This window comes from Homo sapiens, chromosome 21 (assembly GCF_000001405.40).
Source record: "Homo sapiens chromosome 21, GRCh38.p14 Primary Assembly".
NCBI classification, from domain to species: domain Eukaryota; kingdom Metazoa; phylum Chordata; class Mammalia; order Primates; family Hominidae; genus Homo; species Homo sapiens.
Genome location: NC_000021.9, coordinates 32,957,099 through 32,979,354, shown reverse-complemented (window position 1 = coordinate 32,979,354; position 22,256 = coordinate 32,957,099). Strand labels below are relative to the sequence as shown.

The 22,256-nt window shown below is 44.2% G+C and overlaps 1 long non-coding RNA gene across 1 annotated transcript; it reads right to left on the bottom strand.

Moving 5' to 3' along the window:
- Positions 1-18,788: 18,788 nt before the first annotated feature.
- Positions 18,789-20,467, bottom strand: LINC01690 (long intergenic non-protein coding RNA 1690). Its single transcript, NR_135522.1, has 2 exons — positions 20,266-20,467; positions 18,789-19,162 (listed from the first exon to the last, which is right to left on the bottom strand). It is a non-coding gene; the product is annotated as a long intergenic non-protein coding RNA 1690 (long non-coding RNA).
- Positions 20,468-22,256: the final 1,789 nt, after the last annotated feature.

Here is a 22,256-nt window from a genome sequence, read left to right as displayed (position 1 = left end):
GAGGCCTCTTGATCGCTCGTGGGGTTTGGGGGAGGAACTCTCCAGCAACCAGTCTCTCCTGGGCTCTGCTCCACAGCCTGGCCATAATTTATCGGTGGGGGTCCCAAGCCGAGGAGGCGCTGTATGTTTTTGTTTTCAGGGTAATTTACAAGGCAGGCTGCCCTGGTGGTCACCTTCCCCTCTGCTCAAGGAGGTGAACACAATGTCTCTATCTTGGTCGCCACGGAAAGGGTACTTTCTCCGAGGGCGCCATGAATCGGCCGGCTGCGCCCCTGACAGGCAGGCAGGGGGCGATTATCTGGGCCGATGAGAGCCATTGACAAAATGGAGTGTGCCATCTTCACAGCACAAACGTCGCCCTGGCCATAATACCCTCTTAAGGAGACCTCAAGTGGCCCAGTCTTGTCACCGGCTCTCCCAGGCACACCACCAATCGTTTGTCACCGCTGCTGGTATTTGCAGGGAGGAGAGGGCAAGAGAAAGGCAGGACCCGAGAGCATCACAAGAGATCTCCGCCCTGTGGCCTATTGTACTTCATCTCGGAGACAAAGAAGGCTCCAGGCCTTTCTCCAGCAAGTCGCTTCAGCTTCATCAATAAATCAGAGGCCAGAGAAAGCCATTCAGATATGGCTGAGGCCTCCTGAAGGCTCTCTCCATAGAGCCGCTTTCTGGAATATGCAGGATATGAGAGATTTTTTAGTCGAGCGCATTTTGTTTTAATTCCCCCCGCCCCGCGTTCTTTGTCACTTTTCTCCTTTCTGTCCCCTCGGTGTGGAACAGAAGATGCGTTTGTAGGCCTGAATCGGGGGGATTGTTCCAATCATCAGACCATTCACGCCCGCCCCTCCCCTGTTGTAAAACACAAGCCCGGGCCGGGGAACAGCGGCCCCATTGTGCGGCGCCCATGCCACCCAGATTTCACCTCAGCCTTCGCCGAGCCCCTGTTTTGTTTCCAGTCAAAAGAAAGCATTTGCTCAGGGGAGGGGAGGGGTGTTCCTATTGCTTCCACTAACAGAGAGGTTAAAGGAAAGATTGATGGGAGAAAGTTCACCTAGAAAACCAGGATACATTTCTGGCCGGCCAAGGCCAGTTGTTTCATTGTCCTGGGGCCATGTTTTTTGTTAATTATCTCTCACTCTCTCCTTTTATCAAGGAGAAAAGTAGCAAAGCAGGCAGAAAGAAACAGGATATAGGGGTCAGGGGTCCCCCTGGGCCACCTAGGTATTCCATTTGAAATGCTGGGGCGGGCAGGGCCGAGGGTGAGTCTTGCCTGGCTTGGGGTGGAGAAGAGAGGCGGCCACCAAAATAATAATTAATTTGATCCCGTTACTTATGGGGAAACTTCCCACCCTTCACCCCATTCGCTGGCCTCCCTGTATCCTTATTCTAACTCCCAGGGTCTTTATCTCCTTTCCAGCTCCAATCCCCTGCTCATTGCCTCCAACACACACACACACACACACACACACACACACACACACGCACACACATGCACACACCCATACACACACATACACTCTCTCACACACACGCACACATGCACACACACGCACACACCCATATGCACACACATGCACACACATACACATTCATGTATGCTCACACACATGCACACACGCACACACATATGCACACAGACGCGCGCATGCACACGCACCTGCACTTTTTCCTTTGTAATTTTAAGCTCCATGCAACTGTAAGGGTGATTTCAGGAAGGGCGGGGGTAGGGTTGTGGGGGGAACAACGAGAGAAAGGCTAAGAAAGTTGGTCCAAACAAGAACATGTTGTCAAGGGAATAAACCTTGGTGAGGGTAGGCATGAAACCACAGCTGCTGAATTTGGCCAGCCTCAGACGCTGGTGGTAATGACAATGATTCTCAGTGGCAGGGCCCCAGCTCCCAACATAAATAGGGCTCAGCCTGAAAGGGGAGGAAATGGAACAAAACATTTCCTTGGGTACCACTGGCAGAGAAATAACATCAATTTCAATTTGGGGAGGGCGGGAGGCAAAGAATCTGCCTGTTTCCCCACAGTAGCAAAGGCAAATTCATAACTCGCCAACAAAGTACCTTTGAAATGCAGCTGCACTCCACGAACACACTGCCTTTTTCCACCCAGAGAGACAACCCTGTCTTGACCAGAAAGAAGGGGAAAAAGAAGAAAGCACACACTATTGAAAACCCACAAGAGAGGGAAAAAGAAGGGAGGAGGGAAGTTGCTGGGGGCTGCGGGGCAGGGAGGGAGGGGAAATGCATGGATCTTGGCAGATGCAAATGATAAGCTTTACCTAGTATAATGCAACCTTCTTTGCCTTTCCAAGAGGAGGCCTGTGATGAATGGCCACACAGATTCTCGGGAGAGAGACTGCACACAGGCAGCTGGTGGCCAAAGGCAGCCATGTGGCCAGGAAGGAAGGCCACTGGACAGGCCCCGGCCTCCAGGTACCCCTTGGTGCTCTTGGACTCCAGCACCTGCAAGGAATGGAGCAGCTGCTGCCTCCTGGGAAGAGGGACTCTGGTGGTGTCAGAGCCAGGGTCCCAGGAGCCCAGGAATGTGTCTACAAGACAGCACTTTGGGATGAGTGATAGTCATAAACTGGGCAAGTCCAGCTTCTACATTTAAGAAAAAGATTGTCAAAGTATGAATAGAAAATTAGGCATAAACAAAAATATTCACTTAAAATGAGAAATGAAATCACAACAAACTACAAAAGTTAAAAGCCGAAAAATATCAAACATCACAGAATCCAGAAATACTGTGTGTGTGTGTGTGTGTGTGTGTGTATGTGTGTGTGTGTGTGCATGCAAATGTTTCTTTAATTAGCATCTGGACACACCTCTGCAATACTTTTCCACAGACTGGCTTCTCACCTTACACATTTTAAACGTTGTTTATCCTGCACCACCCACCTGTTTCTGATGCTGGACACCAAAGGATGTGATTTCTGACCCTGCAACCCCCTGTCACCATTCTAGGAACTCCATTCAGTGGGTAACAGGTGTACTCCTGGAAGCTGTTTCTATGCCCGAATGACCAGCAATAATTCAACCATGGATAAGCGACAGAAAAGCACGCAAATACATCCCACTCACCCAAACCGGCCTCCCGATCCAGTTCCACTTAGCCACATCCCAAACATGCTCTCGGCCACTCCAGCACCCACAGACACAGGGAAGTAGGAGAGAGAGGAAGGAAGTCAGGCTGCAAAGCACTGAGACAGCATCTTACTGCATTGGGGTTAAAACATCTAACAGATACAAATTTTACAAAAACATATGACCATGTGAACTGTTGGTGGGGCCCTTCCCAAGCCTTGGAAGATGGTGTGCAAATGAGCATCCTTAAGTTTAAGTTTTATTCTTGTCACAATCAAGCTGCCTCTGCCCACGTGGCTCATGTGGTCAATATCAATGTCTGCAGGTCTGGGTGCTGATCACCTTGACAGTGCCTGTCCCCCGTGGAGCCTTCCCTGATGCTCTCCAGGGAGAAATCCCTGGGCCTTATTAGGGTCTTCCTAACCTTCCACACTGCACAGACCTTACTGGGGTCCCAGGGCTACAGAACATGGACTGGATTGTGTTCCCACATAAGCACCCATAGCAGCAGTCAGAATGCCCAGCACAACATGAGACTCAATAAATATGCGTCGAGAAAAAAAGAGAACAGGGCCAGGTGCGGTGGCCCACGCCTGTAATCCCAGCACCTTGGGAGGCCGAGGCAGGCAGATTGCTTGAGTTCAGGAGTTCAAGACCAGCCTGGTCAACATGGTGAAACACCGTCTCTACTAAAAATACAAAAATTAACTGGGCATGGTGACAGGTGCCTGTAGTCCCACCTACTCGGAAGGCTGAGGCAGGAGAATTGCTTGAACCCGGGAGGCAGAGGTTGCAGTGAGCTGAGATAGCGCCACTGCACTCTAGCTTGGGTAACAGAGTGAGACTCCATCTAAAAAATAAAAAATAAAGGGAAAAAGAGAACAGATGAGCTGCACTACATAAAATCCCAAGGTTAGCTGGCTTATGTGAAGAAGGTTTATACTTCCATGTCCTGCTTTGGGGTGATGCAGGAAGGAGATTCGGGATGAAGTGTCAGTACCGACAGAAATAACCTGCTATAACCAAAATGGTTTCAGTGGTGCTTTCCAAGGTCCAGAAAAGAAATTCCTAATCTACCAAGTGCCCAGTGACACTGTCCAGCCATAACCCCATGCTTACCCACAGTGCCCGAGAACCATTCGTTAGCTGGAATGTCCTTTACCGAGCATATCTATTAGGGTGCTGTGCTCTGGGCTAGAAATTGCCCAGTGGATGATGAGGATAAACCTGAGCATTTTGTAGAAGCTCATATGATCCACCCAGCTATCCAATCAGGTAGACTCTTTTATTAGCACATGATGGACAAGGAAACAAAGGTCTCAGAGAAGTGGCTTGTTCAAGTCACATAGCTATTAGGAGACAGGAGTTGGAATGTGAACCCAGATGTGCTGGAATACACTGATGAACTCATGCCCCAGCTGGGAAGATAGCATGGAAACACGTTAGTATACAATGGGCTGAGTGCGCCAGAGAAGTATGTACAGGGTGCTCTTCAAGGCTAGGGGAAGGAGCAGCTGATTTTGCTGGAGAGGGAGATAGGAAGAGACTGGATATTGGGGATATGGTGATGAGTGGGAAGTTTCTCTCTTTCAGCCTTCAGCCTTCCCCTTCCCCAAGGACATAGCTTTGGGGCTAGATGACTTCCCAGCCTGATGTGCAAGTCAGATTCATGAGTGTTCCAACATGGTTTGGAGAAATTCCACTTGAAATTCCAGTCTTGGTCGTCTCTGTGACTATCAGCGAGGTGCCCTGTTCTCAATCGGCCATTGACACTGGTGGGTCCTCTCTGGAGATGGACAAGCTGTTTACCAGCCTGCAGGCCCCTCACTCACACAATTCCTTACTCTAAATGAAGGGACCACTCTGGCAAATTGCCACGTCTTTCTCTAGTTCACCCTTCTTAGTTACTTGACCTTTCCACCCTTCCACTAACCCCCTGGTTTGGCTAGAAAGCAGCAGCTCCCCAGAAGGGCTGAAGGACTCCAGCCTGACCCCAGCCTGCCCCCATGGGGGTCACCATCAATGGCACAGTCCAGCAGCAAGCAAGACTGAGGCGACTCACAGCCACAAACAAGTCAGCAATGAACTGGTTCAGTCACAGGAACTCAAAGGATACCTGCTTCCGGGTGGTTTTTGTTTTGCTTTGTTTTTTGAGACAGAGTCTCACTCTGTTACCCAGGTGGGAGTGCAGTGGCGAGACTATGGCTTACTGCAGCCTTGACTTCCCGGGCTCAAGTGATTCTCCCACCTCCCAGCCTCCTGAGGAGCTGGGACTACAGGCATACACCAGCATGCCTGGCTAATTTTTTATTTTTATTTTTTAGAGAAACAGAGTCTCACTTTGTTGCCCAGGCTCATCTTGAACCCCATGGGCTCAAGCAATCCACCCTCTTCAGCCTCTCAAAGTGCTGAGATTACAGGTATGAGCCACCGCACCTGCTGCCCTCTCTTCGGGTTTGGTACTAAATAAAAATATCCCTCCCTTACTTTTCTGATGGCTCTGGGTGCATTTTCTGGCTCTTTTTCTTCTCTTCTTTGTGGGTGGTGGTGATGGGAGGTAAGAGCAGATCCAAGCTAACATTTGCACTTCCTGGTTTGTATTTTTCCAATATCAATATGGGGCCTTAACATACAAATCTACCTGTTCTTGTTTTTCAGGCACTCATAGCTATAAACACCAAGTACACTCTTCCTGATATGGTGGGGCTGAGAAAGGAAGGGATGCCCATTCAGTTGGAGTGGATTTACTTCCCAAAGAGCAAGGTTTCCATGACACCAATAGTTTTCTTTGGATCTTTGATTGTATACTCCAAGTGGTCTATGAACGTGCCACATTTGACTCAAACATCCATCCCATAGACTCTCATAGTATGTCTACGCTGTGCAAACCGTGTGTTACAGAAATCCTAAGGCATCACTTATATGAAATGTTGAAGGAACTGTATTTGAACAGAGCTGGTCACAAAGAATTAGATATTCAGGGCTTTCTTCATTTATCCATGCCATCTGCAAAGTGCATTGACAGACAACTTACCCATTTCCATGTTTGCATAGTATTTTCCAGAAAACAGAACCAAGCCGAAGGCAAAATTCACAAAAGGAACGAGAGACTCTTGCCCCTGTTATTTTACTTTTACTCCTTTTTTCACTCTTTCCCTATTCAAGATAGCTTGAGACAGAGAGGAAAAGCAGAAGAACAACTGTGAAATAATTGGACATCTTTGCAAGAGGTCAGAGAGAGTCAAATCTTTGCTGCTCAAAATCAGTGCTTTAGGCATTGATAACACAAGTAAGCATTTGTTTCTCTTAGGCTCACTCTTCTAACAAAGTTTAGAGCTTTGTGAGTGTGTGAATGTATTTATGAAATGAAAACTAAGTTATCTGACTCTGGTGTGCTGATGTTATTCTAGTTGTTTCAGAACTGATTTCTTTGTTCTCAGTGTTGAAGCTTAGCATGCTCACAGATATTCAATATACAAAGGCATTTAACACAACTGAGAAAGAATTTAATTTGGCTTGTTTTTTTTCTGCTTTATTTTCCTTTCTGTTGTATCCTAAGCATTATTAAGTAATCAATGAATTGTATAGCTACTTATAATAATTCTCCAATGGGCATATAGTTTAATCTCAACCCATTGAGACTGAAGAAATAAAAATACAGGAAAACCCTATAACTCAATGCCTGATGAGCCTGTGGGGAAAGCAGATATATCATTCTTTGAAAACTGGTACAATGCCTTTTGAGGGCATTTGGCAATCAATGCGGGTCAAAGGTCATAAAAATGTTAGTACTCTTTGACCCTGTAATCTCATTCTTTGGAATTTATTTCAAGAAAGCAATTTAAAAGGAGAAATGGTGTATGCATTGATATATTTATAGCAGTGTTATTTGTGGGAGTGAAAAGCTGAAAATAACCAAAGTCTTAGCAAAGGGCAACAGATAACAAATTATGGAACATTGGTGTAATGGGATATTATCTATTTACTAAAAATGATAAAGATGATATATAATTAGGGCTGTGAGGAAAAACATAGCATATCTACAGGACTGTCAAAATGATGTGAAAACAGGACATACATAAATAAAACTCCAAAGTGATGATTTCTTATGATGAAGAAATGAAAACAATTGTAATATAGGATAGTATGAATCTGGGAAAAAATGTATTTACATTGAAAATGGCATATTTTAACTTTCATTTAACAACAAAGAATAGTTCTAACTTGGGAGAGAGCTTCTAAGGCACTACTCCAGTTATCAAGCAATTCCACTACCTCATTTATTCATCTCTTGTTATCTTTTCTTAATCTTTATATCTTGCCGAGTAACTTGGGTTACTCATTTCAAATTAAACAATTCTTTTAATAAAGAGACTCCAATCAGAAAAAAATAGGAGCAAGCTACATGTAAAAATAGCTCCCCTAAATACTGAAAGGCCATAAACCTAGGTACAGAGGGTGAAAAGCCACCGCCCACCAGTCCCACCTCCTCTCCCGCCCATCCTGTGAGCCTGACAAATACGACTCTTTGGACTGTGTGCTTTTCACCCAGGAGAGGAGCTGTACATCTTCGTTTTTTTAATATTCCCAAACAAGCTTTCTTGGAGAGCAAGAAGAACCAGCCACCAAATTTTTTTTTTAAAAGCAAAATATTATTCTCGATTTCTTCCTCTACATGTAGAATGGAGAATCTGTTTAGAGTCTGCGTGTGAAGGACACCCACTGCTTTCAAAATTAATATCTGAGTTGTTCCCAGAAGACAGGACTGGGCCTTGAATGTTGCAGTGGAGGCCACTGAACAGCATTATGTCATAGACAATGGTGGGGTTGTGTAGAGAAAGAAAAGGCTTTGCATGTTGGTGGGATACTGCTTCTTGCTCCCAAACTGGTCGCCCACCCTAATCCTTTCCGCTCTGTGCAAGGAACCATTTGGCTCCTGGATTCAGGGCCCGTTCTCCAAGGGTTCTGCATCAATCGTGCATTCCGTTTGCCCCACACTGGCTAATTGGGCCCAGCCCACCAGCTGCTATGGAGCTGTTTGTGTGAATGCCCTCAAAGTCGGGGCCCAGATATATGCGGGGGTGGGGGTGGGGGGCGGGGGGGAGAGGGGGAGGCGGGAAGATGCTACTGGGAGCTATTTCTTTTTTTTTTTTTTTTTTTTTTTGAGACGGGGTTTCGCTCTTGTTGCCCAGACTGGAGTGCAATGGCGCGATCTCAGCTCACTGCAACCTCTGCCTCCCAGGTTCAAGCAATTCTCCTGCCTCAGCTCCCTGAGTAGCTGGGATTACAGGCAACTGCCACCACCCCCAGCTAATTTTTGTATTTGGAGTAGAGACGGAGTTTCACCATGTTGGTCAGGCTGGTCTCAAACTCCTGGTGATCCACCCACCTCAGCTTCGCAAAGTGCTGGGATTACAGGCGTGAGCCACCTCGCCCAGCCTGGGAGCTTCTAACAGTGCACTCCCAACTAGCCTATCTACAGAAGAAAACTTACAAAAATGTGTTCCACTAAATAGGGCAGCCCACTCCCGTTTGGTCAGGGTGAATATTTACATGGACTTTTCAGGAATCCCAAAAGAATACTATTATCTGGTGTAATAAAGCAAAAGGGTCTAAATACGTTTTAGTATTTGATTACATTTCTAAATACGTTTATTTCATATGGTACCAAAGTTTGTTTTAAAATGAACAATTTTAGGTAAAGAATACTTTTTAAAGTTTATACATGTCCCTGCTTTCTTAATCAGAGTCTTATAAACACAAGTTCAACTTTTCCTGGTGACTTTTCATTAGAATTCTAAACATATTTGCTCTTATGTGAATATCCCCAACTTTTGTTTTATGGAATAGTTTTCTTTTTCTCGATTTTACACTCCTGTCTCTCATTATCAACTATCCCTTCTTGTGGTACCAGGCCTACCTTCTTGTGTTTTCAGAAGACAAACTATACCTTTATTTACTCAAATTCGGCAACATTTATTGTGCCATAAATCAAGGCCTTAGGTAAACTGTGAGATTGCAGCATGAACAGAACACACTTAAGTTTAATATTCACTTAAATCCCCATGGATGCATTGGTTGGGGGTCCTGACTGGACCACATAACTCAGATCTTTGCAGGCCATGAAAATCACCAAGCAAAACTTATTCTGTACCACCAGCCTGACCCACCTTCTGTTATGCATGTTTTCTTTCTGAGTAAAGAAATTGACACATGATATGTGGTATCGGTGGTCTAGTACAAATGAAAAGCAGATATCAGAGAGAAAGAGTGAGTAAAGAGGCTTTAGAAAGATGATGTATAAATGATCAATAAATTGCCACCTTCTATACAAATATCTGTTAATATCTCTAGATTGGATCCATCCATTTCTTCCTCCTCTAGCTTGTCATCAGATGTTAGCTGGGTACACCTAATAAATAAGGCTATGTTTGTGTAAATAGACCCGAGGGAATCGCTTCTGAGGTTAAACAAGGATACTATACTCTCCTTTTGTAGAATCCTCAGAAAGATAATTTTATTGTCACAAAATAGAAACAAAAATGAAGTTGGATGCAGGGGAGTCATTTTTCCTTATTTCCTTCTCTCTTTATATAGCTCTCAGACACAAGGAGCTTCCCAGGACTGGCCACCAGCTGGACATCCCTTTGGGGACTGAGTCCCCCATTTTTCACATTTGGTTTAATTTTCCTCATCCATCATTTCAAGTCTAATGAACTGAAAATATACTTATTTTTTAAAGAACAACAAACAAGAGGAGAAAAATTTGGTGGTGAAAATCTCCAACCATTATTTTTCTGAGTTTCAGTTCCATTTTACAACATAAATTCCTGGAAACAGACACAGTGCTGTAAAGGGCATCTGCAGATGATGTCTGTGATGGCCTGAGAACAGCAGACCCTCATCGTCTTCTGAACTGACAGACTATCTCCTCGACCAAATTCTAGTCAGGCTCCTCTGAACTCTCTTCTCAACTGAGCCCTGACTTTTGGGGTTCTGTGTTCATCTCTGCATTGTCCAAGTCTTAGCAACAATCCTGCTAAGTCATTTTAGCTAGAATCCTTCACTCCTGGTATTGTTACCAGCAGTGAATCCCTATGGGCCTACAGCAACTCGATTCTTGCCTCCTTGGAGGAGAGAATTCAGCCAAGTGACATAAGGCAGAATAAGAGACCAAGGCAAGTTTTAGAGCAGGTGTGAGAGTTTATTTAAAAGTTTTAGAGCAGGAACAAAATGAAGAAAGTACACTTGGAAGAGGGCCAAGTGGGCAACTTAAAAGATCCGGCCGGGCACGGTGCTGTAATCCCAGCACTTTGGGAGGCTGAGGCAGGCGGATCATGAGGTCAGGAGATAGAGACCATCCTGGCTAAGACAGTGAAACCCTGTCTCTACTAAAAATACAAAAAATTAGCTGGGCATGGTGGTGGGCACCTGTAGCTTGCAGTGAGCTGAGATTGCGCCACTGCGCTCCAGCCTGGGCGACAGAGCCGAGACTTCGTCTCAAAAAAAAAAAAAGATCCAAGTGCCAAGTGCTCTGTCCAACCCTTGACTTGGGGTTTCATGCATTGGCATGATTCCAGGATTTGTGTTTCTTCTCCCCTGATTCTTCCTTGGAGCAGGCTGTCCATGATACAGGAGGTAGAAAGAAATTATTCAGGCAGATAGTAAGGGCAACAGAGCCCTCGGCAGAATTTCCCTTTTAACAAAAAGCAGCCCCCAAATCATTGTCTTTCAAACAAAGAACAGCCTGAAAAATCAAGCTGCAGACATAGATAAGCAAGCTGGAAGCTTGCACAGGTGAATGCCGGCAGCTGTGCCAATAGAAAAGGGCTACCTGGGGGCCAGGTATGTTCAACATGGAGGCCCCATCTTCCCTTTCCTTTATCACCACGTGTACAGTAAAGAAACAGGCAATGTGGCACGGCCAGGTAGAGAACCCATCTGCATAACAAAGGATTAGGGTGGGGTGGCCAGTTTTTTGTGTCTTATGCAAATGGCACACCTAGCCCTAACCAGTTTTTCATGCCTTATGCAAATGACACACGTGGTCCGACAAATCTTTCGTGCCCTATGTAAATCAGACACCGCCTCCTCAAGCTCATCTATAAAACCCCACTGCATTTCACCACGGAAGCAGAAAACCCATTTGGGACCCCTCTCTCTGCAGCAGAGAGAGCTCTTCTCTTTCTTTCGCTTACTAAACCTCTGTTCTTAACCTCACTTCTTGTGTGTTTGTGTCCTTGATTTCCTTGGCGTGAGACAATGAACCTTGGGTATTACCTCAGATGAACAACGTCACTTCATCCAAATGCTTTGGTGGGCTGCCAGCACTTGGGAGGGGCCATACGCACAGTGAGTTTACTGAAGTTGTGCGCATGCTCATTTGAGGCATTTTACCCTTACCAGTTGAGCGTTCCTAGAGGAAGGTCATATACTGGTTAAACTCCACCATTTTGCTTCTTAGTGCTCATGCTTGAGCACATTTGCCAAACTCCTGAGATCTTATCAAAAAGCCGATGATCGTCTGGGAGCGGTGGCTCACGCCTGTAATCCCAGCACTTTGGGAGGCCAAGGCAGGCGGATCACTTGAGGTCAGGAGTTTGAAACCAGCCTGGCCAACATGGTGAAACCACGTCTCTACTAAAAATACAAAAATTAGCCAGTTATGGTAGTGCATGCCTGTAATCCTCCCGAGCTACTTGGGAGGCTGAGGTAGGAGAATTGCTTGAAACTAGGAGGCAGAGGTTGCAGTGAGCCTAGATCGTGCCACTGTACTCCAGCCTGGGCAGCAGAGTGAGACTCTGTCTCAAAAAAAAAAAAAAAAGGCTGCTGATCACCAGCTTCAGGTGTTTTCTGTCTATTGGGAGGCTGTCTTTCCCTGGCATTGGCTGTGACCAATTATTATTTTAGAGAGACAGTTTAACAACAACAACTGCCTGGCCAGTACCTGATGGTCACCTGACATCCCAGTGGGGAGGGGGACCCCCTCCTGGCCTGCTCATGTCTACCTAGCTACTTACTCTAACTGTATCTGATCACCTTCCAGATCTGGGGAAGTTGCTCATCCTCCACCATCCTGCAGGTGCTGTCTGATCACCCTGGCCTGTGTTCAGCAAGAAACCCATTAGGACAGTTAGCCAGAATCCCCGCTTACCCCTCATGTTTCTTCTTGGTAATTTACCATCCACTGGCACCCCTCTCACTCCTTGGCTATAAATTCCCACTTTTCCTTGTCGGATACAGAGTTGAGCCCAATCTCTCTGCCCTACTATAAAACCCCATTGTAATAGTCCCTAGACCTATTGTGATAATCCCCCTAAATGAAGTCTGCCTTGCCACGCTTTCATAAGTGTCACAAATACTTTTTTCTTTAACAGAACACAGTTTATTTTGTTACTTAGGCCCACATCTTTCTGTCTTCCAGCAATCATGCTATTCCTAAGTCATATGGAAGATGACTGTGATTCTGGGGAGAAGCTAAGTCATGCTATGATCAGGAGTGGGGTCCTGCTCCTGGCTCTGAAATCCCAAGTCACAACCACAGTGTGCGGTGGTCAGACAGCTGGTGGAGGAAGTCAGGAGGTCTGCCAGTCCTTTCCCGGAATGCTGGGCTTCCGGGAAGAAGTGAATGGCTTTGAGGCTCCTGTGCCCATCACCAACTCCAAAAGTCCCCATTGATAGCTTGTTGACATTTAGCTGAGGTTAAACTATTGCTTTGGAGGACAAAAAGTACGGCTGTGAATGTTTAAGCAGAAACAGGATATTTATTTGCATTGTCTCAAAGTATCTCCCCCTCTAAAATATTTAATAATTACAAAGGGGAAAACGGAAAGTTTACAGTGGAGAATCTCGGTGGGTATCACCTTAGCCAAGTGGTGAGGATGGTGAGGATGGCATGGTGCACTGAGACGGACACGTCAATCACTTTGTGGTTTCCTTTCCAATAATGCATAACGCTAGTCTAACCGTGAGAACGCACCAAACAAGCCCACATGGAGGGACATTCTACAAAATGACTGATCATTACTCTTCAAAAGTGGCAAGGCCCTGAAATCAAAGAAAGACTGAGGAGCTGTGATAGATTGAAGGAGGCTAAGAAGATGTGAAAACTAAATGCAACATGGAGTCCTGGATTGGGTCTTGGAATAGAAAAAGGACATTAGTGGAAAAACTGGTGATGTGAGTAAGTTCTGCACTTTAGCTAATAGTCTCATGCTTAGTATAATTTCTTAATTTTCATGTATGGTATATAAGATGTTAACAGACAGAGGGCTGGTTGAGGGGTAACCAAGTACTCTGTCCTACTGTTGCGACTCCTCTGTAAGTATAAAATTACTAGGATTTTTTAAAGTGCTGCTGTGATTCAAAATGGCTGAGTGCAGCTGAAAATGTCCATCAGTATTTTGGGGAGCAAGTGAGCAAAACTACAGTGCACTGTAAGAAAAGAAATTGCTTCTTTTAGGAAAGAGCTGCCAAGAAGTCTTAACAAATATTAGGCAGGCTTAGAGCTCTCAATGTGAGAAAGAAACCAATAAATTATCCAGAATGCTAAGAAGATTATCAATGGTTTTTACTCCTCGATCCTGTTTACATCTCCCTGCTCATTAGAAGTAATAAAGATGTACAGGTGGAATCCAGAGTCAGTCTTAATTTACTATTCCCATTTTGTTTATCATTCTGTAAAACTTCCAAAAGCTTGGCTCTACCTTTAATTCAATAGCTAGGACCAAATTGAAGTAATCAAATCAAGCTACTGTTATTATGTAAAGCTATTTTCCTGGGCCCCTGCTTTGAGTAAATGATTCCTATTAACATGCAGATTTGCTAGGGATTACCAGAGAGTCTCTCAAAATAATCATCAGACGATGTCTTTCTAAAGAATACTTTTCTCTCTGACTTGGACCAGGATTCAGTCCATAAATCTCTCCCTTCTACTCAAGGACAATTCAGGACTACTTCGTGACTAGGATGGGAAAACGGTACTCCTAATTCACAGAGTTGAACAAAACTGAAAATACAAACTCCAGCTTCCTCCCCATGCTCTGCTGGGTTTAAAGTTGTGCCACAACCAGTCATGAGGAGAAAATTCAGGGCGGGCATATGCATTAGCACTGTGTATGTGTGTGTGTGTGTGTGTGTAAATGAGAATATATGTATGTGAATAAAGTGAAGTGTAGGCATTGTATTAGGTATTATAAGTAATCTAGAGATGATTTAAAGTATACAGGAGGATGTATATAGGCTAAATGCAAGTACTATGTCATCTTCTATGGGAGACTTGAGCATCAGCTGATTGTGGTATCTGCAATTTGAAATCTTTGTTCAACTTTTATTTATAAGGGAAAAAGTTGAATAAAGATACCAAACTGCAGATATGGAAGATACTGATGATTATCAGTATATTTATTTATAAGAGAAAAAGTGGAAGTAATCTCCACTGTTCATCAATAGGGAAATGGTTAAATGATGATCCACCCACTCAATGAAATATTATGCACCCATTAAAATAATTAGTTGAAAGACTCTCTAATAACCTAGGGCAATGTTTAGGAGAAAAGTAGATCACAAACTTTTATGCACATTATAACTGTAAATATAAATGCAGTTAGAGACATAATGGAAAGAGATGACTGAAACATTAAAGTAGTTGTATTTGGGTTGTGCCATTATTGTTACAGGAAAGGGGTCCCGATCCAGACCCCAAGAGAGGGCCCTTGGATCTCTTGAAACAAAGAATTTGGGGTGAGTCCATGGACTAAAGTGAAAGCAAGTTTATTAGGAAAGTGAAGGAATAAAAGAATGGCTACTCCATAGACAGAGCAGCCCGGAGGGCTGCTGTTGCCCATTTTATGGTTATTTCTTGATGATATGATAAACAAGGGGTGGATTATTCATGCCTCTCCTTTTAGACCATATAGCGTAACTTCCTGACATTGCCATGGCATTTGTAAACTGTCATGGCCCTGGTGGGAGTGTAGCAGTGAGGACAATTAGAGATCACTCTTGTCACCATCTTGGTTTTGGTGGGTTTTAGCCGGCTTCTTTACTGCAAACTGTCTTATCAGCAAGATCTTTATGACCTGTATCTTGTGCTGACCTCCTATCTCATCCTGTAAGTTAGAATGCCTAACCATCTGGGAATGCAGCCCAGTAGGTCTCAGCCTTATTTTACCCAGCTCCTATTCAAGATGGAGTTGCTCTGGTTCACCTGCCTCTGACGTTATGGGTGATTTCACCCCCTCCCCACCCCCTCCCACCCTGCCATTTTCCTCCTTTTTTTTTTTTTTTTTTGGGAAGACAGAGTCCTCCCTTTGTTGCTCAGGCTGTAGTGAAGTGGTGTGATCACAGCTCAATGCAGCCTTGACCTGCTGGGATCAAGCAATCCTCCCGCCTCAACCTCTGGAGTAGTGCGAGCCAGGACACCTGGCTAATTTTGTTTGTTTTTGTAGAGACGAGGTCTCACTATGTTGCCCAGGCTGGTCTTGAACTCCTGGGCTCAAGATATCCTCCTGCCTTGGCCTCCCAAAATGCTGGGATTACAGGCATGAGCACCATGTGCAGCCCACTTTACAGCTTTTTATTAATAATAATGATTTGTTAAAATTTTCTTCTCCCAAAGTGAAAACGTTTTAGGGAAGGAATAAAAGCAGGAACAGGGAGTTTGTGGTGGTTTACACCAGAGTAGCTTAACTTTTTTCACCCTTCACCTCGCTCCCATGCCCAACTCCTGACCTCATCTAAAATCCTTGCACTTCTTTAAAAAGATGCCTGGTGCCTTCCCAGGCAGGAAGCCTTTGCGCACGTGCATTGTTAAGAGGAAAATGAGACTGAATGGAGCTTGGCAACCCAATGGAGCTCTCAGAGCATGGATGTGATTTGAAGTTTGGGGAGGATATTCCCTCCCACCCAACCTCCACTTCTAGGGCATCTTAAGGATTTGGTTTCTGTATTTACGACACTGACATAAATAGTTGAGCTGATTTTATTTATTTATTTATTTATAGAGACAGGATCTCCCTCTGTCACCCAGGCTGGAGTGCCGTGGCATGATCATAGCTCACTGCAGCCTCCAATTCCTGGCTTCAAGCCATCCTCCCACTTCAGCCTCCTCAGTAGAGTAGCTGGGACTAAGATGCACTCCCCACCCCTGACTAAATTGGGCCAATTTTATTTACAAACAGACTTCATAACAGGTCAATTCTGGCATTAATTTATTTCAAATGGTAAGTTGTGAAATTAAATTCAAAACTTGTAAATGAGACACAATATTATCCCTTTTATTTCCAAAGCTATTAATTGTAACTGACACTTCACCATTCTCCACGCTTACTACTTTTTATGCTGCCTTCTTTGATGAATGTATTTATGGTGCTATAGATGGTGAGGTGAAGGGTGGATGGATGCAAATTAAAATGGGCTGTGTTTTTTAAGAGGATGTATTATCACACAAACAGGCAACCAAAAGAGTGGACTTTTTGTTAAGTTTTAGAGTTATTCAGCATTCTAGCTTCAAAGATAGCCTTAAAAAATCAATGAAACTATACTTAAGAAAGGTCAGGGTGGGTGCAAATGGAGATTTAGAGACTATGAAGATTCTTAACTTTGCCAAAGTTTTAATCAAATGTATGAGAAAGTCGTATGTCTCCCGACCTCCATCCCCACCCCCACCAGTAGCAACAGGGTTTGTCTAAGGAAAATCACTACTTCCCTGACTTGTGATTGAAAGGCCATCTTAATCCTGAGCACGCCTCTGCTATTTTTAGCCCTTTGCACAAAGCACACCAGAGCCAAAGGCTGGGGACATTACTGAGCCCCTGGGGAAGAGGCTGTTGACTTGTTATTTTCCTTTAACTCTGCCAGTCCTGTGCCTGTCGAGGTGATAGTAATCCAGTTTGACATGAGATCTTGCCCCTTCCCCCACCCCAAATTCAAGCATCATTTTGATTGCCTATGGACATACTTTGCACTTTCTAGGTTTCTTTATTTTTTGAGATGGAGTCTCGCTCTGTTGCCCAGGCTGGAGTGCAGTGGCATGACCTCGGCTCACTGCAAACTCTATCTCCCAGATTCAAGCAATTCTCCTACCTCAGCCTCCTGAGTAGCTGGGATTACAGGCGCCCACCCCCATGCCCAGCTAATTTTTGCATTTTTAGTAGAGATGGGGTTTTACCACATTGGCCAGGCTGGTCTCGAACTCCTAACCTCAGGTGATCCTTCCACCTTAGCCTCCCAAAATGCTGGGATTACAAGCGTGAGCCACCGTGCCCGGTGCACTTTCTGATTTTTTAAAAAATTTCGAGGGATAGTGTACAAGAACGAGAAAGGCAGCCTACTCGACTATGAAGTCTTCTTGTTGGGGGATGGAAAAGATCATTTCTAGCCATCTCAGTGTCTCCATAGCCTAACACAGGTGTCTCCATAGCCTAACACAGGTGTCTCCATAGCCTAACATAGCCTAGCATAATATTTGAACTCTTTACATACAGCAATTCATTTAATCCTTAAGGCAACCCTATAAGCAGACACTCTGATAATTATTCATATAGAATTAAGGGAACTGAGGCTCAGAGAGGTAAATAACTTGCCCAAAGACACACAGCCAGGGCTAGACTTCAGGTTCCTTAATCAATTCCCATGTCCTTCACCACCATGCTACACTGCTTCACAGCACACCGTAGGTGCTCAATGGATGTTGTTGGCTGCATGAATGAAAGAATGCACGGAAGACTCCTAGGCAGTGTCTTGGCATTATAGGAATGCTCCTAGTCAATGCAGTGAAAAAAAACTTCCCCATTGCTCCAAGGCAAAATTAACTTTCCTTACTCTTAGTCTCCCACTCACTTTGTGCTCTGTATAGCATTTTTCTCCCACAGTTCTTTGTTCATCTAAGTGTTTTTTAAGCATTTATTATGTGCCAGACACTGTTCTAGTCACTGAGACTGGAGCAGTGAACAAAATGAACAAACTTTGCATTAATGGAACTTACACATACAAGACCAGGAGGAGACACACAGTAAAATAATAATTATGTAGCTGTATCAGGTTGTGATACTCTGCTGGTAAGCTTTCACCACTGCTTTCCCATTGATCTCTCTAGAGTGAAGCTCCATGCCCAGATAGAATTAGCTACCCAGTACCTCCCTCTTATGAACTGACTGCCAAAATCACATTTGAAGTAAGCTCCAAGAAGAAAGATAAAGACAAAACCAACCAAACAAAAATGAACCCAGAAGAGACAGAGACAACTCAGTAAACGTTTCAACAAGCAAACGTATTTTTAAAAACTATGGCCTTTTCAAAAATAGCAAGAGATTAGCTCATGAAACAAGAAGAGGAGGATATCAAAATGGATCAGAGAACCAAAATTATTGAAAATTAAAATAGAATAGCTTAATTTAAAAAACACTTTTAATAATGGTATTGGAAAATACAATTCAGGAAATCTAGAAACATATCATCTAGAAATATGAAAGGAAATTCCAGAAAAAAAATTAAATTACAGAGTTGAAATGTGTTGTTTCAAGGGTATGAAAGATGTCAGAAGAAGCTGAGCAGAGAACTGTGTTTATTTATTAGAATCTATCCAATTACTACTTGATTTTCAAATGATGGAATGCATTTTGATCAAAATAAAAGTAGTATTTTAAAGTGTTCATGATATTTGTTAAGATTTTAGAAATGTATGGCAAAACATTTTAATATATCCTGAGTGATGCGTACATTTATTGTATATGCTTTAGAGACACAATATAAATGACTTTGAGTATTAAAACTCTTAATTTGATCCAGGCTTTTGGGGGCATGGTACAAAATTCAGTGCATTTTCCTGAAAGACAAGATGTGGTCTGATTGGGTTGGCTCGTGGGTCGTGGCTGAGGGATGGCTGGTGTCCTCTGTGTCCTCAGGACTGCATGGCCTTGGACAATTGTCAGAAAGCTTTTCAGGACTTTAAGTTTTTATTTTCCTAATGACCTTTTCAGATTCCTGCATTGTTTTCACTGGGGCTATGTAAAAGGCTGTCCAGCCAGGTCTTTCCCCACGGATCTCCTTTAAGAGGCGGAACAATTCTATAACAAAAATATTTTACACCACAAATTAAGTAAGTGGCTTGGGGAGTCTCTGAGTCCCAGTTAATATTGGGATAAAAGAATACCATTTGGATTTCCTCAGCTTAGATCAGAAAATAGAGGGAAGGTGGGAGGAACCCCTCCCCTCCCACCGCCACCAGAGAAGGAAAAGAACAGGATGATTTAGGGTCATTGTTGTCTCTCTCTCCTCCCATTCCTTCTTCTGGTGAAATAAGAGGCTTAGATGAGCTGGCATCTAGGTTGTCTTGCAGCCTAAGGATTCTATGCCCACTGGTAGGACAGTTGGCTGGTCTGGGTGGTTCCTGACTCGCATCTCAGCCTTTGGACACATGGAAATCCACTCTCTGAAGTACCAGAAGACAGGAGGCTGCTAGAAAACAGCCTGTCTTTTCCGAAACAGGCCAGATAATAATGCATCTTGTAGAGCCGTAGGAAAAACATCTTATGTCCTGGCAGTGCTTTCAGTGCCTCTAAACTCACCCTGCACTCTCTGCATTTCCTCATGTACAAATACATGTCAGAAAAGTTCTTTTAGAAACATTACTCTTAGGCAATCTCCTTTCCTCACTCTGCACACACCTAACAGACAATATTAACAAGTGCTGCTGAAGACACTCCATGCTATAAAATTCAGTTATGATAATAATAGCAAGGCTGGGCACAGTGGCTCAAACCTGTAATCCCAACACTTTGGGAGGCTGAGGTGGGAGGAATGCTTGAGCCCAGGAGTTTGAGACCAGCTTGGGCAACATAGTGAGACCTTGTCTCTACCAAAAAATAAAAAATTAGCTGGGTATGCTGGTGCATGCCTGTGGTCCCAGCTACTCCAGAAGCTGAGGTGGGAGGATCACTTGAGCCAAGGAGTTCGAAGCTGCAGTGAGCCATTATTGCACCACCGCACTCCAGCCTGGGTGACAGAGTGAGACTCTGTCTCACTTAAGAGTGTGCCCACCTTTATCCTAAGTGATGTGAGCTAAGCTGCTCCATGCCCCAGTCTTTCTGGGATAAACTCAGATTTCACTTTAAAAAAGAGACAGAATGGCTTTTTGGTGAGTAACGCACCAATTTGCTGAGGAACTCACCTCTATTACAGACTTTTGTATCCGAACAGTGAGATTTCCATAAAGATAAAAGACTGGCTTTTCTTTTTCCACCCCCACAATGCCACAGGAAAGGAGCTCTTAAAGCCTAATGTGAAATTATCCAGGGAATCACCTTTCCTGCAGGAAGGAAGACTGAACACTCAACCTTGTTTCTAGCTGTTTCCTGCCTGGTAGAAATTTACTGCAGTAGAATGACTTTGGTGGAACTTAACACTGCCTGAGTATTTTACACCAAACACCTGTTACATCACAAATGCCTTCTACTCAACACCACCCGTGTCACATGCTCCTTACAAAGGCGGTGCCTGATGAGGGATTTGCTGAAGGGCCAATGACAAGAAGTCCTCACTGCCTTGCCTTTCTCTCTCTGTCTGACCATTCTGCCTCTTGTATGGGAGCGAGCGCAGGAATAAGAAGGAGAAATCAAGTTCCATTAGTTAACAACTCTGATAAAAGAGCAAGGAATAAAGGATAATAATGACACATGACTTGCTAGTGTTCTGTGGCTTTAAATTACCCAGGTCTCTCCTGGTTTCAGAGGCAAGTGAGTCAGAGCTGCCTGTGTGGTTGGACAGGTTGTTCACTGCACAAGGGCCCTGGACCAAGGCGGTGAGCAGGGACGCAAATCCAGCCTGCACCTTGCTTACCAAGACTGGTGCCCTGCACAGAGCTGAGTCCTCTTAGTTCACACAAAGCCATTATATAGGCTAGCAATGGCTGGCCCCCATTAAACCCTAGTTCACAATTCAGCTTTATGGATTAGCATTTGGGGTAGGAAATGCTAAAACTTAAAGAAAGAAAAGAAAAACTGTACAAAGGTATGTACAAAATCTGTACAAAAGAAAAACTGTACAAATGGGGAGGAGGGACTTTCGCTGAAGTCACCAGATGAAGTTGAGATTTGACGTGATGGAGTTTTTATTGGTTGCAACCAGTTTGATGGTTCACTTCAATAAGGGCACATCGAATAGAGCTCAGAAATCTTAACACTGGAGTGGGCTATCTTCCAAATGTTTTCTGAGTGGAGTGGCAGAGTTTGTTTTGTCCTCCTGGAACTCATTTTCCAAGAAAATTTTCAAAGTCTGAGGGGACTTGTCATCCAAGTGGATTTTTCCCCATCACCTTTTTCCTGCCATTCAAACATCGCTCCCCACCAATTGTGGGCATGGCAAGCTGTTCCTTCCACGGGGTTAATGGCCCATGGTGATGTTCTGGAGATGGCAGTTTGTAATATAAAGAGGCTGAATTGTTTGTTTAACAGTGAAGTGACAAATTATTTAATTAGCACATATGCCATTTGTCTCCGCAGCTGTGATCATCGGTACTAATTGCAAAGCAGTCTTAATTTATTGTAGATATATTGCTCCATGATGCTAATGTGATCATTACAAGCGGCCATTATGCCCCTGGCCCATGTTTGAAAATGAAAGCAATTCCGCCACATGGGGAAAACCACACTTCTAGTCCCGGCCAATATATGCAGCCACGACTGTCTTCCAGTGAAGGGAATATTCAAAAGAGCAGTGCTCCTTTGACATCTTCTCTTTAGGGCTTGGACCCGGTTGGTGCAGAACACCACCTCCTTTTAAAGCCGGTGCCTGATCCCACCTCCCCACCTGGAGGATAAATGACAGCACAGACCCTGGCTCTGGCTGCCAATGCGATTTGTCCTGGTCACTTGCCTGCTACTCACAAAGGGAAACCTTTTCTTTCTCTCTGCCTTTAACCAGATATGCTTCACAGGCCTACAAATGGGGAACTCAAGGCAAGGTGCCCACCTCAAGACAAATCCTGGAGGCCAACTAGGTGTTACCAGCTTCTTAGCAAGCACTGTACTCAAAGGTAGCAATCCAATATCCCCGGGAGTAGGAGCACTTGATTAGAAAGGATGTGGCTTTCTCCCCACATCTTCCATTAAACACTATATTTGCCTCTAGTAAAAGCAAGAGGTGCTGAACTGGGGAGTTTTA